The sequence below is a fragment of the Homo sapiens genome, chromosome 12 (assembly GCF_000001405.40).
Source record: "Homo sapiens chromosome 12, GRCh38.p14 Primary Assembly".
Taxonomy (NCBI): Eukaryota; Metazoa; Chordata; class Mammalia; order Primates; family Hominidae; genus Homo; species Homo sapiens.
Genome location: NC_000012.12, coordinates 55869671 through 55890704, shown reverse-complemented (window position 1 = coordinate 55890704; position 21034 = coordinate 55869671). Strand labels below are relative to the sequence as shown.

At 43.7% G+C, this 21034-nt stretch overlaps 1 non-coding gene and 2 pseudogenes across 1 annotated transcript; 2 read left to right on the top strand and 1 right to left on the bottom strand.

Moving 5' to 3' along the window:
* Positions 1–15863: 15863 nt before the first annotated feature.
* LOC124903120 (U1 spliceosomal RNA) lies at positions 15864–16027 on the bottom strand. The gene has a single exon (XR_007063652.1). It is a non-coding gene; the product is annotated as a U1 spliceosomal RNA (small nuclear RNA).
* On the top strand, positions 19486–19764 carry RN7SL676P (RNA, 7SL, cytoplasmic 676, pseudogene; annotated as a pseudogene).
* OLA1P3 (OLA1 pseudogene 3) lies at positions 19990–20678 on the top strand (annotated as a pseudogene).
* The last annotated feature ends 356 nt before the right edge of the window (positions 20679–21034 follow it).

Genomic DNA, 21034 nt, shown 5'->3' with positions numbered 1-21034 from the left:
TGAGATTACAGGCGTGAGCCACCGATGCCGGCCCCAAATAATATTATACCACTTCATATGTAATGTAAAAACTTTATAAAATCATACTTCTATTTTCCCCTCTCCCATCCTTTTTGCTATTGTTGTCATACTTTGTACTTACTTCTACATATATTATAAACCTATTATATCCCACAATACACTATTATTATTTTTGACTTTTTTTTTTTTTTTTTTTTTTTTTTTTGAGATGGAGTCTTGCTCTGTCACCCAGGCTGGAGTGCAGTGGCGTGATCTTGGCTTGCTGCAACCTCTGCCTCCCGGGTTCAAGTGATTCTCCTGCCTCAGCCTCCCGAGTAGCTGAGATGACAGGGATGTGCCACCAAGCCGAGCTAATTTTTGTATTTTTTGGTAGAGATGAGGTTTCATCATGTTGGCCAGCCTGGTCTCAAACTCCTGGCCTCAAGTAATCTTCCCACCTGGGCCTCCCAAAGTCCTAGGATAACAGGCATGAGCCACGGTGCTCAGCCCTGGCTCTTTTAAATAATTAAAAAAATTAAAAAATATATTTACGTACATGTTTACTATTTCCTATGCCCTTTCTTCTTCCTTCCTCTTCTTCTTTCTTCCTTCTTTTTCTTTTTTGAGAGGGTCTCACTCTGTCACCCAGGTTGGAGTGCAAGTGGTGCGATCACAGCTCACTGCAACCTTGTACTCAAGCAATCTTCCCACCTCAGCCTTCTAAGCAGCTAGGACTATAGGCACATGTGACCACACCTGGCTAATTAAAACAATTTTTTTTCTGTAGGAACAGAATCTTGTTATGCTGCTCAGGCTGGTCTCTAACTCCTGCATGGCCTTTTATTGTGTGTGTAGATCTCAGTTACCTTTTTTTTTTTTTTTTTTTGAGATGGAGTCTTGCTCTGTTGCCCAGGCTGGAGTGCAGTGGTGCGATCCCAGCTCACTGCAAACTCCGCCTCCCGGGTTCACGCCATTCTCCTGCGTTAGCCTCCCGAGTAGCTGGGACTACAGGCGCCTGCCACCACGCCTGGCTAATTTTTTTTTTTTTGTATTTTTAGTAGAGATGGGGTTTCACCATGTTAACCAGGATGGTATCGAGCTCCTGACCTTGTGATCCGCCTGCCTCGGCCTCTCAAAGTGCTGGGATTACAGGCGTGAGCCACCGCGCCCGGCCTCAGTTACCATTTAATATCATTTTTCTTCAATCTGCAGAACCTCCTTTAAAATTTCTTGTAGTGCAAATGATAACATTTTCAACTTTTGTTTGTCTAAAAATGTTTTTGTGTTTGATGGGTATATGTTACTTCCACTGGATACAAAATTCTAGCTTGACATCTTTTTCTTTTAGCACTTTGAATATGTCATTCTATTGTCTTCTGGCCTGCATTATTTCCAATAAGTCGGTGATTATTCTTATCCTTGCTTCCCTATATGTAACTTATCTTTTTCTCTGGCTTCTTTTCAGATTTCCTTTTGATAATTTTTTTTTTTTTTTGGAGATGGAGTATCCCTCTGTCACCCAGACTAGAGTGCAGTACTGCGATTTTGGCTCACTGCAACCTCTGCCTCCTGGGTTCAAGTGATTCTCCTGCCTCAGCCTCCCAAGCAGCTGGGACTACAGGCACACGCCACCACGCCCAGCTAATTTTTGTATTTTTAGTAGAGATGGGGTTTCACCATCTTGGCCAGGCTGGTCTTGAACTCCTGACCTTGTGATCCACCTGCCTTGGCCTCCCAAAGTGCTGGGATTACAGGCGTAAGCCACCACGCCTGGCTTTGATAATTGGTTTTCATGGCTGCATGTGGTGGCCTACACTTGTAATCCCAGTACTTTGGGAGGCCAACGTGGAGCTGTTTCTTTGCATAGCTCCCTTCTTTCCTGTACTCTCTTCCGTAATATCTACCTCCTCAATCTCCCCGAACTCTGATCTTTGACCCTTCAACTCAGCAAAACTACTGTGCTCTGCTTAGGTTTCCCATTCCTGTGCCAGTCTGGAAAGTTTCTCTGGCAGATAGTTGGGATAATTGAAAGGCTTACACAATTTGTTTTCTTTCCTTTTCTCAGGGATCATAATCCTATGCTGCCTTTGTCTAACATCTGAAAAATGTTGTTTCACATATTGTGTACAGTTTAAGTTTTTAAAATGGTAGATGGGTTAGTCAGATACCAGTTACTTTGTCATGGTCATAAATATACAATTCCATTTTCACTGGGTATAACATTTTAGGTTCACATTTTTTAATACTTCAAAGGTGTCATTCTATTGTCTTTAGACTTACATTGTTATCTTTGTTCCCATATATGGAATGCGTCTTTGTTAGAAAGGAAAAGTAAAACAGCAATAAGATATACTTTACTATTGTGTTGTTTAAATAAAAAGAGGCTGGGCATGGTGGCTCACACCTGTAATCCCAGCATTTTGGAGGTCAAGGCAGGCGGATCACTTGAGGTCAGGAGTTTGAGATCAGCCTGACCAACATGGTAAAACCCTGTCTCTACTAAAAATACAAAAAAATTAGCCGGGCATGGCAGCACACACCTGTAATCCCAGCTTCTCGGGAGGCTGAGGCAGGAGGATCACTTGAGCCCAGGGGACAGAGGTTGCAGTGAGCCGAGGTCACGCCACTGCACTCCAGCTTGTGTGATAGAATGAGACTCTGTCTCAAAAATAAATAAATAAAATAAATAAATAAAGAGTCCACTGTCGGTAAGACTCAGGGAAATGGGTACATTCACATATTTCTGGTGGTGCAAATTTCTTGTATGGACAGTTTGTTAAAAGTATTAGAGGCCGATAGCCAAAAAGCACAAACAACCCAAGTTGGTTAACCCATCTGTTAATTATCCATCAACAGATGAATAGTTAAACAAAATGTGGTATATACATAGGATGGAATACTGTTCAGCCACGAAAAGGAATACAATTATGAAACTTGCTTCAATGTGGATGAACTTTAAAAATATTATGCTAAGTGAAATAAACCAGACAGAAAAGGAAAAATATTGTATGATTCTACTTATAAGAGGTACTTAGAATAGATGTATTCATAGATATAAGTAGAATAGCGGTTGCCAAGGACTAGGAGGGAGAATTGAGAGTTATTGCTTTATGGATATAGAGTTTTTGTTTGGGATAATTGAAGAGTTCTAGAAATCGTGTGATGGTTACAACACATTGTGAATGTACTTAATGCCACTGCATTATACACTTAAATACAGTTAAAATGGCCAAGTGTGGTGGCTCATGCCTGTTTTCCCAGCACTTTGGGAGGCTGAGGCAGGAGGATTGCTTGAGGTCAGGAGTTTGAGACCAGCCTGGGTAATATAGCAAGAACCCATTTCTATAAAAACATTAAAAAATTAGCTAGGCATGGTGGTGCATGCCTGTAGTCCTAGCTACTCAGGAGGCTGGGGTGAGAGGAATGCTTGACCCCAGAAGATCAAGACTGCAGTGAGCTACAAGTATGTCACTATACCCAGCCTGGGTGACAGAGTGAGACTCAGTCTCACACACAGACAAAAAGATGGTTAAAATGGTACATTTTATGTTATGTATATTTTATCACAATTAAAAAATAAGGAAAAAATTAAAAACGAGAGAGCTAAGATGGTACATTTTCTTTGACACAGTAATTATACTAAGAATTTTTCCTAAGGAAAAAATGAGATGTGTAAAGATTTAGTCATATGGATTTTTAAAGAGTAGTTTTACAAAACAAAATGGAACAAAACAAAACAAAAACAAAGAATTCAATTTTAATGTCCCCAAACAGACCACTGGTGAAATATAATATGATATACAATAAAATGCCATATAGCCACCAAAAAAAACCCCAAAACCCACTATTCTATCTGAAGATAGATTAGAAAAAAAAATAAAGAACTATGTTGTAAAAGGATAATTTTTTTTTTGAGATGGATCTTGCTCTTGTCGCCTAGGGTAGAGCGCAGTGGCGTGATCTCAGCTCACTGCAACCTCCTCCTCCTCCTGCCTCAGCCTCCCAAGTAGCTGGGATTACAGGCACGCACCACCAGGCCTGATTAATTTTGTTGTTGTTGTCGTTGTTGTTTTGAGATGGAGTTTCGCTCTTGTTGCCCAAACTGGAATGCAATGGCGTGAACTTAGCTCACTGCAACCTCTGCCTCCTGGGTTCAAGAGATTCTCCTGCCTCAGCCTCCCGAGTAGCTGGGATTACAGGCAGGCGCCACCATGCCCGGATAATTTTTTGCATTTTTAGTAGAAATGGGGTTTCACCATGTTAGCCAGGCTGGTTTTGAACTCCTTACCTCAGGCGATCCACCTGCCTTGGCCTCCCAAAGTGCTGGGATTACAGGTGTGAGCCACAGTGCCCAACCTGATATGAATTCCTTCTGCCTGGAGTTCCTCTCCTTGAGTGACAAGCTTGTTTTAAATGGGTTGTAAAAACAATGCCTTATCTAACAATAGTGTTTCAGATAATAAAGTGCAGGCTGTAACAATCCTCAAACACTAAAATACAAAGGCAAATTCAGCGAATTATTTCTATTTATTCCTACTAGGTTAGGAGCTCCTCATGGCTGTAGAAATGACTAGTCTTATCCATTTCTAAATCCATGATTCTTGGTACCTAGTGTATAATGAAACATAATATAGCTGTTTGTTTTTTGAACAAATCTAGTTCCCAGGGTTTGCTCTCAGAATACCGGGTTCAAATCTCAGTTCTTTTTTTTTTTTCTTTTTGAGACAGAGTCTCCCTCTGTCTCCTGGGCTGGAGTGCCGTGGCGTGATCTCAGCTCACTGCAACTTCCACCTACTGTGCTCAAGCAATCCTCTCACCTCAGCCACCCAAGTAGCTAGGACTACAGGCATGCACCACAATGCCTGGGCTGATTTTTAAATTTTATTTGTAGAGACAGGGTCTTGCTATATTGCCCAGGCTGGTTGTGAACTTCTGGCTTCAGGTGGTCCTCCTGCCTGGGCTTCCCAAAGTGTTGGAGTTACAGGCATGAGCCATCATGCCCAGCCTAAAGTTAGTTATTATTGATGAAGTTTTGAAATAGAGAACTGATGGTAAGATCATGGAAAATGAGGAGAAACCAGGTATGTACTTCTCAAGATACCTCAACAAAATAGTATTTCTTTTCCTGATGTGTTGACCATGGTCTGGATCTTGCCAATATCCCTACAGACATCTGGTTTTGTCAGCACAGACAGTAGATCCAATTCTTGAGGATAGACCCATATTAGTCAAGCTTACAAGGCTGATTTATAAACTAGAACATATAAATTAGAATGTCAGTTTATCATTTTATACAAACCAAACCTACCATGAGGAATAGAACACTTGAGTCAGCACAACCAGCACTCTCACTGCCCACAAACATTGCTCCTTGGTTCACCAAATTATATTCAGAAGGTTACTTGGTGAGTATGCATATTAGTTTCCTGTGACTGCTATAACAAATTACCACAACTTGGTGGCTTAAAATAGCAGAAATGTATTCTCTCAAAGTACTAGAGGCTAGAAGTCCAAAGTCAGTATCACTGGATCAAAGCAAAGGTGTCGGCCAGGCATGGTGGTGCATGCCTGTAGTCCCAGCAACTAGGGAGCTACTAGTACTAGGGAGGGTGAGTTAGGAGGATCGATTGAGCCCAGGGGGTGGAGGCTGCAGTGAGCTATGACTGTGCCACAGCACTCCAGCCTGGGTGGCAGAGCGAGACCCTGTCTCAGAAAAAGAAAAAAAAGCCAGGTGCGGTGGCTCACACCTGTAATCCCAGCACTTTGGGAGGCCGGTGGATCACCTGAGGTCAGGAGTTCGAGACCAGCCTGACCAACGTGGTGAAATCCCATCTCTACTAAAAATACAAAATTAGCTGGGTGTGTGGTGCATGCCTGTAATCCCAGTTACTTGGGAGGCTGAGGCAGGAGAATCATTTGAATCCAGGAGGTACAGGTTGCAGTGAGCCAAGTTTGCACCATTGCACTCCAGCCTGGGCAACAAGAGTGAAACTCTATCTCAGAAAAAAAAAAAAGGAAAGAAAAATCAAGGTGTTGACAAGGCTGCACTCTCCCTCCCCAGGGGCTATAGGGGAGAATCTAATCCTTGCCTTTTCCAGCTTCTGGTAGTTGCCAGCATTTCTTGGTTTGTGACAGCATCACTCCAATCCCTGCCTTTATCTTCCTTCACATTGTCTTCTCTCTTTGTGTGTGAAATCTCTCTCTCTCTCATGAGGATACAGGTGATTGTATTTGGGGCCCAGCCACATAATCTAGAGTAATATAATCTCAAGATCCTGAACTTAATCACATCTGCAAAGACACCCCCCGCCCCCCAACCTTTTTTTTTTTTTTTTTTTTTGCCATATAAGGCATTGTTTACAGGTTGTAGGGATTAGGAAGTTAAGATCTTTTTTCAGGGAACATTTTTCAACTTATCACAGCATGGAAATTGGGACTAGGGGAGTGACCTGGTTTAGATGTGTGTCCCCTCCAAATCTCATGTTGAAATGTGACCTTCAATGTTGGAGGCTGGAGGTGGGTGTTTGGGTCATGCGGGCAGATCCCTCATGAATGGCTTGGTGCCCTCCCCATGGTAATGAATGAGTTCTCACTCTATTAGCTCACACAAAAGCCGGTTATTTAAAAGAGCCTGGAATCTCTCTTGCTTCCTCTCTCGCCATGTGACACGACTGCTCCCGTCACCTTCTGCCATGAGTAAAAGCTTCGGAAGACCTCACTGGTGCCATATTTGTACTGCCTGCAGGGCCGTGAGTCAAATTAACCTCCTTTCTTTGTAAATTACCCAGTCTTAGGTATTCCGTTATAGCAATGCAAAATGGACTAATACAGGGAGTGAGTTATACCGCTAGAAAGATTGAAGACATCAGGCTGCCATTGTGTGATGCATTTACTTCCACAGTTGGGATGGCCTAGTCAAGTGTCCTGAATACTCAAGTCCATTGCCAAGATTTATTCTCCCAAATACCATCCTTGAACGGTCACTACCAGTGTTTGCTTCTTTTTTTTTTGAGACAGAGTCTCACTCTGTTGCCCAGGCTGGAGTGCAGTGGCATGATCTTGGTTCATTGCAACCTCTGCCTCCTGGGTTCAAGCTATTCTCATGTCTCAGCCTCTCAAGTAGCTGGGGTTACAGGCGCCCGCCACCATGCCCAGCTAATTTTTGTATTTTTAGTAGAGACAGGGTTTCGCCATGTTGGTCAGGTTGGCCTCGAACCCTTGACCTCAGGTGATCCACCTGCCTTGGTCTCCCAAAGTGTTGGGATTACAGGCGTGAGCCACCACACCTGGCCTGTTTTTTTTTTTTTGAGACGGAGTCTTGCTCTTGTCGCCCAGGCTGTAGTGCAGCGGCGCAATCTCGGCTCACTGCAACCTCCGCTTCCCAGGTTCAAGCGATTCTCCGGCCTCAGCCTCCTGAGTAGCTGGGATTACAGCTACCCGCCACCACTTCCGGCTAATTTTTGTACTTTTAGTAGAGATGGGGTTTCGCCATGTCGGCCAGGCTGGTCTCGAACTCCTCACCTCAGGTGATCTGCCTGCCTTGGCCTCCCAAAGTGCTGGGATTACAGGTGTGAGCCAACGTGCCTGGCCTGTCTGTGGCTCTGCTTTTTGATGCTTCCATGGCTTACAAAACTACTTTGGTTGGCTTAGTTTTTCTTTTTCATCTTGTTCTAGCCTGGGGACTGTTCTATTTCCTTAATTGATAGCTTTGCCTAGCTCTGTTATGACCCACTATATATTGATGTTTATAACTTACTTCTTAATAGGCAATTTCTTTACTAATAAAAACAACAAAGGTATAGTGGTTTCTTCTTCCAGAATAGTGAAATTTCTAACAGCCCTACCTTTCTGCAGATAACAACATAAACTGAGGACACAAAACAAAACAACGACCTGAAGGCTCTGGAGAGTTAGCCAAAGCAGGCATATTTAGGAGGAGAGTTGAAAGTTGGATGAAGGACTTGGTCCAGGGTGAGTTTCCCATTTGTATGTTGTTAGACTAAGGGCATACCACATCATGGTGTGAAATGAGACAGCTAAAACTTTGATGAAAAACCCACCATCTGTCTGGCCTGAAGAACCAGAGTTCAGAGCTCAGGGCACACACAGTCATGGGAAAGTGAGGAGGCAATGCCAGAAAGAAGAAAACCAGGAAATGGGGGCCCCCAAATCTGCTTATAAATACTAAGTCTCTGGCTGATCTGAGAGAAGCTGGCAGTTAAGGCTAAAATAATTTCAGCCTTAAAATTTTACCCTGAGATCCGAGCTACCACCCACCACCATAGGTGAGAGAGAACCTATTTTTTACACAAACAGAAACATCAACACTCTGGCCAGGTGTGGTGGCTCACCCCTGTAATCACAGCACTTTGGGAGGCCAAGGTGGGTAGATCATGAGGTCAGGAGATTGAGACCATCCTGGCCAACATGGTGAAACTCTGTCTCTACTAAAAATACAAAAAAATTAGCTGGGTGTGGTGGCATGCGCCTGTAATCCCAGCTAGTCGGTAGGCTGAGGCAGGAGAATCACTTGAACCTGGGAGGTGGAGATTTCAGTGAGCTGAGATCGTGCCACTGCACTCCAGCCTGGCAACAGAGTGAGACTCCATCTCAATAAATAAATAAATAAATAAATAAATAAATAAATAAATAAATAAAAAGAAAGAAACATCAACAATCTTAAGAAGAATATAACAAACAGAGTCTGTATAACATAACATTCACAATGTCTAGGACATAGTCCAAAAGTCTTCAACACACACATAAAGCAGGAAAATATGACTAATTATCAAGGGAAAAGATAATCAACAGAGGTCAACCCCGAGATGGTTATTGATTTTTTTTTGTCTCTTAGCTCCAAATTCACCCTTTTGGCCTGCTCTGTAAAAATGAATGGGGGTATGGCAGGGAGCAGTGGCTCAAGCCTGTAATCCCAGCACTTCAGGAGGCCAAGGTGAGTGGATCACGAGGTCAGGAGTTCAAGACCAGCCTAGCCAACATGATGAAACCCCATCTCTACTAAAGATCCAAAAAGTAGCCGGGCATGGTGGCGTGCGCCTGTAATCTCAGCTACTCAGGAGGATGAGGCAGGAGAATCGCTTGAAGCTGGGAGGCAGAGATTGCAGTGAGCCGAGATCACACCATTGCACTCCAGCCTGGGTGGCAGGGCGAGACTCCGTCTCAAAAAAAAAAAAAAAGAAAAAGAAAAAGAAATGAATGGGGATGCTTTGAGTAGTTTTCCTTTGCCAGTAGGCACTGAAGCTTTATCAGAAGAGAGCACTGCAGAGACATTACAGGAGGAAGGTCTTTTGTTTCCTGGTTCTGATGTGCTCCGGCATTTTGCAAGGCTTCTCCAGTGCCTGGCTCCTGCAGTGCATGGTGGCAAGCAGTGCCCAGAGCTCAGCAGTTTCCATGGCATTCCCCTTCTTGGATGGTTTTGTAGCAAAAGGTGAGGCATCTTCTCATGAATAGTTTTCTCTGACACATTACAGGGCAGACTTCCAGCAAGTCCTGAGGGTGTGGCATCACAGTTTCTTTTCTGCCCTTTGGTATATTAAACTTTTTTTGTTCAAATTACTGTGTGGTTTCTTTCTCCTAATTAGGCCCAGACTGGGCAGTATTGTTTTCTATTTAGAATTGTGTTTGGTTGGTTTCTTGGTAGTGAAATGTTTAAGTTCCTTTCTCCTTTCCTTTCATGTACATTCTATAGCTATTTTTTTGTGGTTTCCATGGGGATGACATTTAGCATTCTAAAGTTTTTTGTTTTTTGACGGAGTCTCACTCTGTCACCCAGGCTGGAGTGCAGTGGTACAATCTCGGCTCACTGCAACCTCTGCCTCCCGGGTTATAGCGATTCTCCTATCTCAGCCTCCTGAGTAGCAGGGACTACAGGCATAGGCCACCACGCCCAGCTAATTTTTGTATTTTTAGTACAGACGGGGTTTCACCATATTGGTCAGGCCGTCCTTGAACTCCTGACCTTGTGATCTGCCTGCCTCAGCCTCCCAAAGTGCTGGGATTACAGACATAAACCACTGCGCCCAGCAATGAGGTCATGCAATGTTGCCCAAGATGGTCTTGAACTCCTGAGCTCAAGCAATCCTCTTGCCTCAGCCTCCCAAAGTGCTGGGATTAAAGGCGTGAGCCACTGTGCCTGGCAACTCTGCTCCTTTATAGCTCTATCCCCACCCCTTTCAGTTGTTGATGTCACAGAATTACATCTTTTTTTTTTTTTTTACTTTTTTTTTTTTTGGAGACCCAATCTCCCTCTGTCACCCAGGCTGGAGTGCAGTGGCACAATCTCCACACACTGCAGCCTCCACCTCCCAGGTTCAAGTGATTCTTCTCCCTCAGCCTCCTGAGTGGCTGGGATTATAGGCGCCCGCCACCACAGCCAGCTAATTTTTTTTTTTGTTTTTTTTTTTTGGAGACCTACTCTCACTCTGTTGCCCAAGCTAGAGTGCAGTGGCACAATCTCGGCTCACTGGAACCTCCGCCTCCCGATTCAAGCGAGTCTCGTGCCTTAGCCAACTGAATAGCTGGGATTACAGGCACGTGCCACCACGCTCAGCTAATTTTTGTATTTTTAGTAGAGACGGTGTTTTGTCATGTTGGTCAGGCTGGTCTCAAACTCCTGACCTCAGGTGATCCGCCTGCCTCGGCCTCCCAAAATGCTGAGATTACAAGCGTGAGCCACTGCACCTGGCCTAATTTTTGTTTTTTTGTTGTTGTTTTGTTTTTGAGACAGAGTCTCACTCTGTTGCCTAGGCTGCAGTGGCAGGATCTCGGCTCACTGCAACCTCTGGGTCCTGGGTTCAAGCGATTCTCCTGCCTCAGCCTCCTGAGTAGCTGGGATTACAGGTGCTCGCCACCATGCCCAGCTAATTTTTTTTGTATTTTTTTATTAGAGACAGGGCTTCACCATGTTGGCAAAGGCGGTCTCGAACTCCTGACATCGAGTGATTCGCCCACCTTGGCCTCCCAAAGTGCTGGGATTACAGGCGTGAGCCACCATGCCTGGCCTAATTTTTGTATTTTTAGTAGAGACGAGGTTTCACTATGTTGCCCAGGCTGGTCTTGAACTCCTGGGCTCAAGTGATCCACCCTCCTTGGCCTCCCAAAATGCTGGGATTACAGGCATGAGCCATCATGCCCGGCCAGAATTACATCTTTATACATTATATGTCCCACAACATAAATTAATAATTCTTTAAAATGCATTACTCTCTGAAATGATGTAGAAAACAAAATGTGGATTTACAAACTAAAGTTACAATAATACTATCTTTTAGACTAATAGTTGTTTTTTAAAAATGTGTTTGTCTTTTAAATCGTGTATTAAGCAAAAAGTAGTTACAAACCATTGCTACAATGCTATCTTTTATAATTGCCCATGTATTTTACTTTTTTTTTTTTTGAGACAGAGTCTCACTCTGTTGCCCAGGCTCCAGTGTAGTGGCGCAGTCTCGGCTCATTGCAAACTCCACCTCCCAGGTTCAAGTGATTCTCCTGCCTCAGCCTCCCAAGTAGCTGGGATTACAGGTGCATGCCACCATGCCCAGCTAAATTTTGTATTTTTAGTAGAGGCGGGGTTTTGTCATGTTGGCCGGGCTGGTCTCGAACTCCTGACCTCAAGTGATTCACCCACCTTGGCCTCCCAAAGTGCTGGGATTACAGGCATGAGCCACTGTGCCTGTCCCCATGTATTTCCTTTTTTTTTTTTTTTTTTTTTTTTATTGAGACGGAGTCTTGCTCTGTCGCCCAGGCTGGAGTGCAGTGGCGCAATCGCGGCTCACTGCAAGCTCCGCCTCCTGGGTTCACGTCATTCTCCTGCCTCAGCCTCTCTGAGTAGCTGGGACTACAGTCGCTCCCCACCACGCCCGGCTAATTTTTTGTATTTTTAGTAGAGACGGGGTTTCACCGTGGTCTCGATTTCCTGACCTCGTGATCTGCCCGCCTTGGCCTCCCAAAGTGCTGGGATTACAAGCGTGAGCCACCGCGCCCGGCCCCATGTATTTACTTTTATTGAGATCTTTGTTTCTTCATACAGCTTCAAGTGACTGTCTAGTGTTCTTTTATTTCACCCTGTAGGACTCCCTTGGACATTTCTTGCAGGGCAGGTCTAATGGTAATGAACTCTCTCAGCTTTGTTTTTTTTTTTTTCCGAGACGGAGTCTTGCTCTGTCGCCCAAGCTGGAGTGCAGTGGCGCGATCTTGGCTCACTGCAAGCTCCGCCTCCCGGGTTCATGCCATTCTCCTGCCTCAGCCTCCCGAGTAGCTGGGACTACAGGCGCCCACCACCACGCCCAGCTAATATTTTTTTGTATTTTTACAAAATACAAAAAGTAGAGACAGGGCTTCTACTTGTAAAAGTAGAGATGGGGTTTCACCATGTTGGCCAGGATGGTCTCGAGCTCCTGACCTCGTGATCCGCCCTCCTCGGCCTCCCAAAGTGCTGGGATTACAGGTGTGAGCCACCATGCCCAGCCTCAGCTTTGTTATTTGAGAATATTTTAATTTATTCCTCACTTTTCCAGCTTTGTTATTTGAGAATATCTTAATTTTTCCCTCACTTTTGAAGGATAGTTTTGCTGGATATAGAATTATTGGTTGAACTTTTTTTTTCCTTTGAATATATCTGGCAACTACCTTCTGGCCTCTAAAGTTTCTGATGAGAAATCTGTTCATGATCTTACTGAAGATCCCTTGTATGTCATGAGTCACTTCTCTCTTATTACTTTTGGCTTCTCTCTTTGTCTTTGGACAGTTTGATTATAATATTTGTCATGTAGATCTCTTCAAGTTCATCTTACTTAGAGTTTTTGAGCTTCTTGGGTGTTCAAATTCATGTTTTTTAAATCAAATTTGGAAAGATTTCAGCTATTGTTTTTTTAAATATTCTCTGTCCCTTTCACTTTCTTTTCTCCTTCTGGGATTCCCACAATGTATATATTGGTCTGCTTGATGGTGTCCCACAGGTTCCTTAGGCTCTGTTCACTTTTCTTCAATAATTTTCTTTTCTGTTCCTCAGACCTGATAATTTCCTTTGTCTTTTATTCAAGTTCCCTAATTCTTTTTTCTGCCTGTTCAAACTGCCTTTTAGTTAAATTTTTACTTCAGTTATTGTAATTTTAGCTCCAGAACTTCTTTTTGGTTTCTTTTAAAATTTTCCATCTCTTCATTGATATTTCCATTTAGTTTATGCCTCATTTTCTTCACTTTGTCCATATCTTCCTTTAGTTCTTTGAGTATCTTAATGATAGTTTATTTAAAGTCTTTGTCTAGTTTATCTGTCATCACGTCTTTTTCTGGGACAGCTCCTATTGATTTATGTTTTTCCTTTGGGCCCTTCCTTTTTTGTATATTTTCTGATTTTTCACTGAAAACTAGACATTTGAATCTAATAATGTGGTAACTCTGGAAATTAGATTCTGTCCCCTCCCTGAGAGTTTGCTGTTTTTAGATATTATTTTTGTTGATCGCTTTTTTGTTTCATTTTATTTTATTTTTGAGATGGAGTCTCGCTCTGTCACCCAGGCTGGAGTGCAGTGGTGTGATCTTGGCTCACTGCAACCTCCGCCTCCCGGGTTCAAGCAATTCTCTGAGTCAGCCTCCCGAGTAGCTAGGATTACAGGTGCCCACCACCACGCCACGCTAATTTTTTTTGTATTTTTAGTACAGATGGGGTTTCACCACCTTGGCCAGGCTGATCTTGAACTCCTGACCTCGTGATCCACCTACCTCAGCCTCCCAAAGTTCTGAGATTACAGGCGTGAGCCACCACACCCAGCCTGCTTTTTTTTTTTTTTTTTCAGTAGAGACGGGGTTTCGCTGTGTTAGCCAGGATGGTCTTGATCTCCTGACCTTGTGATCTGCCCGCCTCGGCCTCCCAGAGTGCTGGGATTACAGGCGTAAGCCACCGCTCCTGGCCAACTTTTTAATTTTTTAATTATTGTAGGCTGTGTCTGTTCTGAGGATTGGCCTGAGATGTGAACTTAGGGTCTTCCTTCTCAGCTCTTTTCTGAGATTTTCTCTGTGCATGCATGGTCATTTTCTAATTTTTCCCCACATATGTAGTTGTTTTTGAATGTCCAAGTCTTTAATGACTGGGTTCCAAAAGGGGAAAAAGAGAAAAATGAAGTGTGGCAAGAGGAAAGGGTGCTGGCTTTAAAGGATTTAAAGGGGAGTGGGAAGGAAGTAAAAAAACAAGGGCACCCAACTCTTTTTCTGTAGTTCTGTGACCAGAAGCAGCAATCAATTATGAGAGCATAGATAACCAATATTTGGAAAGTAAGATCCTTTTTTGTCTACCTGGCTCTGCAAACTGTGGCAAGCTGTTCCAGGAACACAGGCACAGCTGCCTGCAGCTGAGGTGTGAGGAATGGGTGGCTAAGGGCTGAAAAAATTTACTGTGCTAAGAGAGCTGAAATTGACTGAAAGTAGCTGCAATTTACAGTCCAAGCCCTGCCCTGGAATTTGCAAGCATTCAATAGACTCTAGAGTTTCAAAACAGTTCACACCAGACAGATTCTGCCAGTGCAATTATTGTGTAGGTGGAGAGACAGATTCCCAGTGCTTCCCACTCTGCCATCTTCCTAGAATCCTTAGATAATCTTTTTTTTTTCTTTTCTTTCTTTTCGTTTCCTTTTTACAGGCAGCCCACCAGAACTCGAAGATTCTAGAATAGATTTGGAGTGGCTGCCTAGATAATCTATTGATTCCGTTGTTTCTCCTTGGTGACATCCCTCTGGGGCCTACCTTTATGCCTTTTAGTTGGGACTGGCTGCTGAGGCCTCAGAACTGGGCCTGCTACATTGTTGATATCCTGGAATTTCCCTTTGCCACATTGTAGCGATGATCTTCACCCATCTCATGGGTAGAATCTCATTTCCTGGCCTTCATATTTTCCTCTATCTTGGCTTAATTCTTTTTGGTGGAGAACACTGAAACAAATAAAAATATTTTACCCCAAAATATATTTATTTAACATATGTTGAGATGGCTGTCAGAGAGCCAGAAAATAGAAGTAGCTCTGCAAAGCTGTCTTTTGTTGGGGAAATTTGCATCTGTAGAGAATCTGTATCGATTCAGCCACCTCTTCCCTTGTCCAGATCCAGAGACGATTAACTGTGAGTTTGATATCTTTAAAGGTCTGAAGGAAACATTTACCATCATTCCTCTTTGAGGGCTGCTACCTGTGAGATTTCATTTGCAGAACAAGACCACTCTTGCTAGCCAGGCTTCATCTTCTCTCCCTCCCATAACCTGTTTTGCCACTATAACCTGATTTACCACCATAGTCCGTTTTTGGCCATGCTCGAAGACACCATTCTTTCTGTAACCTTAAGATGGTATATAAGCTTCTGCACCACATTGGAGGTGGGGTAATCATTCTGTGGTTTTCCCCCATGTGCACATTAATAAATTTGTATGCTTTCCCCCAATTAGTCTGCCTTTCGTGAGATGATTTTTCTTTTTCTTCTTTTTATATATTTTTTCTTAAAAATTATGGCCAGGTGCGGTGGTTCATGCCTGTAATCCCAGCACTTTGGGAGGCTGAGGCAGGCGGATCACCTGAGGTCAGGAGTTCGAGATCAGCCTGGCCAACATGGTGAAACCCCGTCTCTACTAAAAATACAAAAATTAGCCGGGTGTGGTGGCGTGCGCATGTAATCCCAGCTACTTGGGCTGAGGCAGGGGAATCGCTTGAACCCAGGAGGCGGAGGTTGCAGTGAGCTGAGATCGTGCCACTGCACTCCAGCCTGGGCAACAGAGTGAGACTCCATCTCAAACAAACAAACAAACAAACAAATGTATTATATATTTGCAAAAACAAGTGACTTGCTTTTTGGAATGAAAAACATCAGGGAAGAGTGCAAATGCAGTTCCCCACTGCCACAAATTGTTTACTTGAGTTTCCCACATTTGGGGAAATTGCAGGAGTCAGCACATCTGGAGTGCAAACAAGAAGCCTCGCCCTGGAAAAATCCCCTTTGTGATCATGATATCTCCCCTGCCAGGTAAGTATTGTGAGTTGGTTTTTCAGTGAAACTTCAGTGAGCAAGGGGGAAGTTTCCCATTGGCTCCTACACTTTTGGCACTGTGAACAGAATACCAAAGCTCCACTCTTCTGGAAGCCACAGTGAAGGGAACTCAGTACATGACAAGCCAGAAGAAGGCTAAGAATTTCTCGGTCAGGCTTGCAGCCTCTCTTTCTGTGGAATTCTGTCAGGCAGATGGTAAAAATCACTGTTTGTCCCTTTTTCCTCTGCAAAGTCTAATGGGAGAAAAGAATTTGTGTGACTAAATCTTGAGTATAGCCATTCTGGTGTACTTTTTGGTATGAATATTCATATTGTTTGATCTCTTTCCTCCAAGAAATAGTTTTTTCCTTTGTCTTTGTCTTTCTGTGTTGCTCTGTCATAAAGAGAGGTACCACAGAAGCCCATTATTCAAGCTGACCCTGCAGACTGGTCAGTTTTGTGGTTCTGATCAGACTGGCATATAAATTTTGCTGTGGGTCCCCAAAATATAAGCCCAGGGAAGTTCCCCTCTCATCTTGTTTTATGTCCTTGAGAGCTTGATGTGTGACCGAGTGGGAGCACTTTCTCTTAGTTTCTGCCATCTGAGGGGCTGTGATTTTCAGGCCATGTCAGGTCGCCAGTCTGAAAATGGCTGGGAACCCAAGATATGTAAGATTTTAAGCAACAAACTTTTTGTTCTGAATGTGTCAAGCTCTCAGTAGAGTTTGTCTTAATAATAAGTTCCATCCATAAGGGAATTTGTTGTTGTTGTTGTTGTTGTTGTTGTTGAAACAGAGTCGCCCAGGCTGGAGTGCGATGGCTTGATCTTGGCTCACTACAACCTCTGCCTCCTGGGTTCAGGTGATTCTCCCACCTCAGCCTCCCAAGTAGCTGGGAGTACAGGTGCGTGCGACCACACCTGGCTCATTTTTGTGTTTTTACTAGGGATGGGGTTTCACCATTTTGGCCAGGCTGGTCTTGAATTCCTGGCCTCAAGTGATCCACCCACCTCGGCCTCCCAAAGGGCTGGGATTACAGGCGTGAGCCACCACGGCTGGCACATAAGGGATTTTTTTTGTTTCAACCCCTGTTGCCAAATTAATCCAGAGAAGATCCAATCCCAGGAGGGCCTACTGAGTGTCACAGATTAATGAGTCTGTGACTGCCAGCTCCCCGCCCCCCACAAATTTGTGGGTTACCGAAGGAACTGTATGCAGAAACACCATTCTTAACTGTCTGTGGCAACAAGAGTCTTTGTTATCTCAGCCTATTCCTGGGAGTGAATTTTTGGGTGGAAATCTTTAGGATTGCCTTTTATACTGCTCTCTAGGAAACACCTCTTTTTCTAAACCTGGAAAATTACATCATGGTTTTTCCATGAAGAGACTATTGGATTGTGTCACTATTGGAATAAATGCATCATTGGCAATTCTAATCAGTGGCCAAAAAATGGATCCCTGAAATCAGAAAGATCCCTCAATTAAAAAAAAAAGATTATAGAGATTTCTCATTCTAAATAATTGCCTTATTTGTATTTATGAGAGTAAATTAAAAGAAAGACACATAATCATGTCATGGCTAGTCTTAGGAATTCTCTTGGCTGGGCTCGGTGGCTCACGCCTGTAATCCCACACTTTGGGAGGCGAAGATGGGCGGATCACCTGAGGTCAGGAGTTTGAGACCAGCCTGGCCAACATGGTAAAACCCCATCTCTACTAAAAATACAAAAATTAGCTGGGCGTGGTGGCGCATGCCTGTAGTCCCAACTACTAGAGAGGCTGAGGCAGGAGAATCGCTTGAACCCAGGACCTGGAGGTTGCAGTGAGCCAAGTTTGCACCACTTACTCCAGCCTGGGCAACAGAGCAAGACTCTGTTTCAAAAAAAAGAAAAGTAAAGAAAAGAAATTATCTTGAAAAAAATTAAAGAACAAAAATTGACCTAAAATAGACTACTGCTCAGCATGCCACTTAGCAGAGGGGCCAGGCCTGCTCTCTCTTCCTTCCTGTCTACCTCTGACTGCCAGCAGGACCTGTCCCTCGCTGACACTGATACCCCATATCATTGCCCACCCCAAGGATGATGACCCCCAAAAAGGGAGGTGATGGAATTAAACCACTCCCAATTATTGGAAGATTTGGAATCTCACTGAAAATTAGTGTTGCTGGATTGCCAAATGTTTGGAAATCTGCCATCTTCACTGTATTAACCAGTAGTCAGACTTCAGCAGTAAACTTCCTATTCTAAACTGTTGATTCTAACTAGAGGAGAGTACCTGTGCCAGATGAAAGATTTGACTTTCTTTGTCAGGACCACAAACTAGCACGCAAAATTTCTGCCTTTCTAGATGTAGTGAATATTGCTGGCTTTGTGAGAGGAGTTGATTTCGGCCGTGGAGACGCTTTTTTATCTCAAATCAGTGCCTGTGATGGAATCTTCCCTCTAACACTTGCTTCCAAAGATAATGATATCATGCATGTTAAAGAAAGTATAGATCCTGTTTGAGATATAGAAGTAATACATGAGGCCGGGCGTGGTGGCTCACGCCTGTAATCCCAGCACTTTGGGAGGCTGAGGCAGGTGGGTTACCTGAGGTCAGGAGTTTGAGACCAGCCTGGCCAACATGATGAAACCCCGTTTCTACTAAAAACACAAAAATTAGCCGGGCGTGGTGGCAGGAGCCTTTAATACCAGCTACTCGGGAGGCTGAGTTGGGAGAATCACTTGAACCTGGGAGGTGGAGGTTGCAGTGAGCCGAGATCATGCCACTGCACTCCAGCCTGGGCAACAGAGTGAGACTCTGTCTCAAAAAAAAAAACAACAAAAACTAATACATGAAGGGCTTAAATATGAGGGAATAATTGGGCCCATTAAAGATAAACTAGAAAAGGTGGCCTTTTTCTAGTTTAGTGAAAACTAGTGAAGGAGATAAAAAATTAAAACCTGAGGCCAGGCACGGTGGCTTACAGTTGTAATTCCAGCACTCTGAGTGGCGGAGGCGGGCGGATTGCTTGAGTCCAGGAGTTTGAGACCAACCTAGGCAACATAGCGCAACTCTGCCTCTACTGAAAAAAGAAATACAAAAAATTAGCCAGGTGTCGGGGCACACACTTGTAGTCCCAGCTACTTGGGGAGCTGAGATGGGAGAATCACCTGAGCCTGGGAACTCGAGGAACTGAGTCGAGATTGCACCATTGCACTCCAGCCTGGGCAATCAGAATTAGACCCTGTCTTCAAAGAAACAAAAGACCCTATATTAGTCAGGGTTCTCTTAGAGGGATAGAACTAATAGTATATATATATAGTAGTTTATTAAGTATTAACTTACACAATCACAAGGTCCCACAATAGGCTGTCTGCAAGCTGAGGAGCAAGGAAAACCAGTCTGAGTCCCTAAACTGAAGAACTTGGAGTCTGATGTTTGAGGGCAGGAAGCATCCAGCACGGGAGAAAGATGTAGGGTGGGCTGGGTGTGGTGGTTCACGCCTGTAATCCCGGCACTTTGGGAGGCTGAGGCGGGTGTATCACTTGAGGTCAGGAGTTCGAGACCAGTCTGGCCAACATAATGAAACTCTGTCTCTACCAAAAATACAAAAATTAGCTGGGTGTGGTGGCACATGCCTGTAATCCCAGCTACTTGGGAGGCTGAGGCAGGAGAATCACCTGAACCCAGGAGATAAAGATTGTGAGCCGAGGTCATGCCACTGTATTCCAGCCTGGGCAACAGAGTGAGACTCCGTCTCAAAAAAAAAAAAAAAAGGAAAAGGAAGATGTAGGGTGGTAGGCTAGGCCCGTCTCGCCTCTTCATGTTTTTCTGCCTGCTTTATATTCTCTGGGGGCTGATTAGATGGTGCCCACCAGATTAAGGGTGGATCTGCCTTCCCCAGCCCACTGACTCAAATGTTAATCTCTTTTGGCAATGCCCACACAGACATACCCAGGATTAATACTTTGTATCCCTCAATCCAATCAAGCTGCCACTCAGTATTAACCATCACAAGCCCCAAACATGATATAATTTGCAGTCAAATCCTGGGTATAGATCAAAAGAAACATCATTGTTTCTATCATGATTGGGACAAAGAGATTGTATTTTTAAATATTTATTTTTTACTTCTAAACCAGTGGTGTACTTGATTAATCTTTATGAAAAAGTCTGCATTAGAAAGAAAAATGAATGTTTGATAAAAATAAAGAGTTGGTGGACAAGTATGACTCCGGTGTATTGGTCATTACTTTGAGTGGGGCCTTGGAACACATGTTGCAAGAACTGAGTACTGAGAGAGACAGAGTATCTGAAAGTGAACATGACACAGAGTACTTTGCTAAAGATCATTAAGGCTGGTTTTGCAGTACTCCTGCTAGAACACTTTTTCACTGCAGGCCCAGATGAAGTACATACGTAGACCATCTGCAAAGAGATGGAGGCTCCTCAGGCCGTGGAACAGATTCATACAGATTTTGAAAAGGAATTCAGTATGGCTGACATAATGAAATATGAAAATTTTAAAGAGGACGTTTCTGAAAATGCAGTGAAGCCTGCTGCAAAGTACAGACAACAAAGCAGAAATTATACTGTGGAAAGTGTAGATGTTATTTTCTTTAAATTTAGTACACCTCAACAACCAAAGAAGAAACAAATTTTAGTTATTGCTTAGACAAATGTACAACTTCCAAAAGGCCTATGACTTTTTAAAATTAAAATTTCTGGCTGGGCATGGTGGCTCACACCTGTAACCCCAGCACTTTGGGAGGCTGAGGCGGGTGGATCACGAGGTCAGGAGATTGAGACCATCCTGGCCAACATGGTGAAACCCCGTCTCTACTAAAAATACAAAAATTAGCTGGGTGTGGTGGCACGTGCCTGTAATCCCAGCTACTCGGGAGGCTGAGCAGGAGAATTGCTTGAACCTGGGAGGCAGAGGTTGTAGTGTGCCGAGATCGCACCACTGCACTCCAGCCTGGCGACAGAGCGAGACTTCGTCTAAAAAAAAAAAAAAAAAGAAAAAAAAAA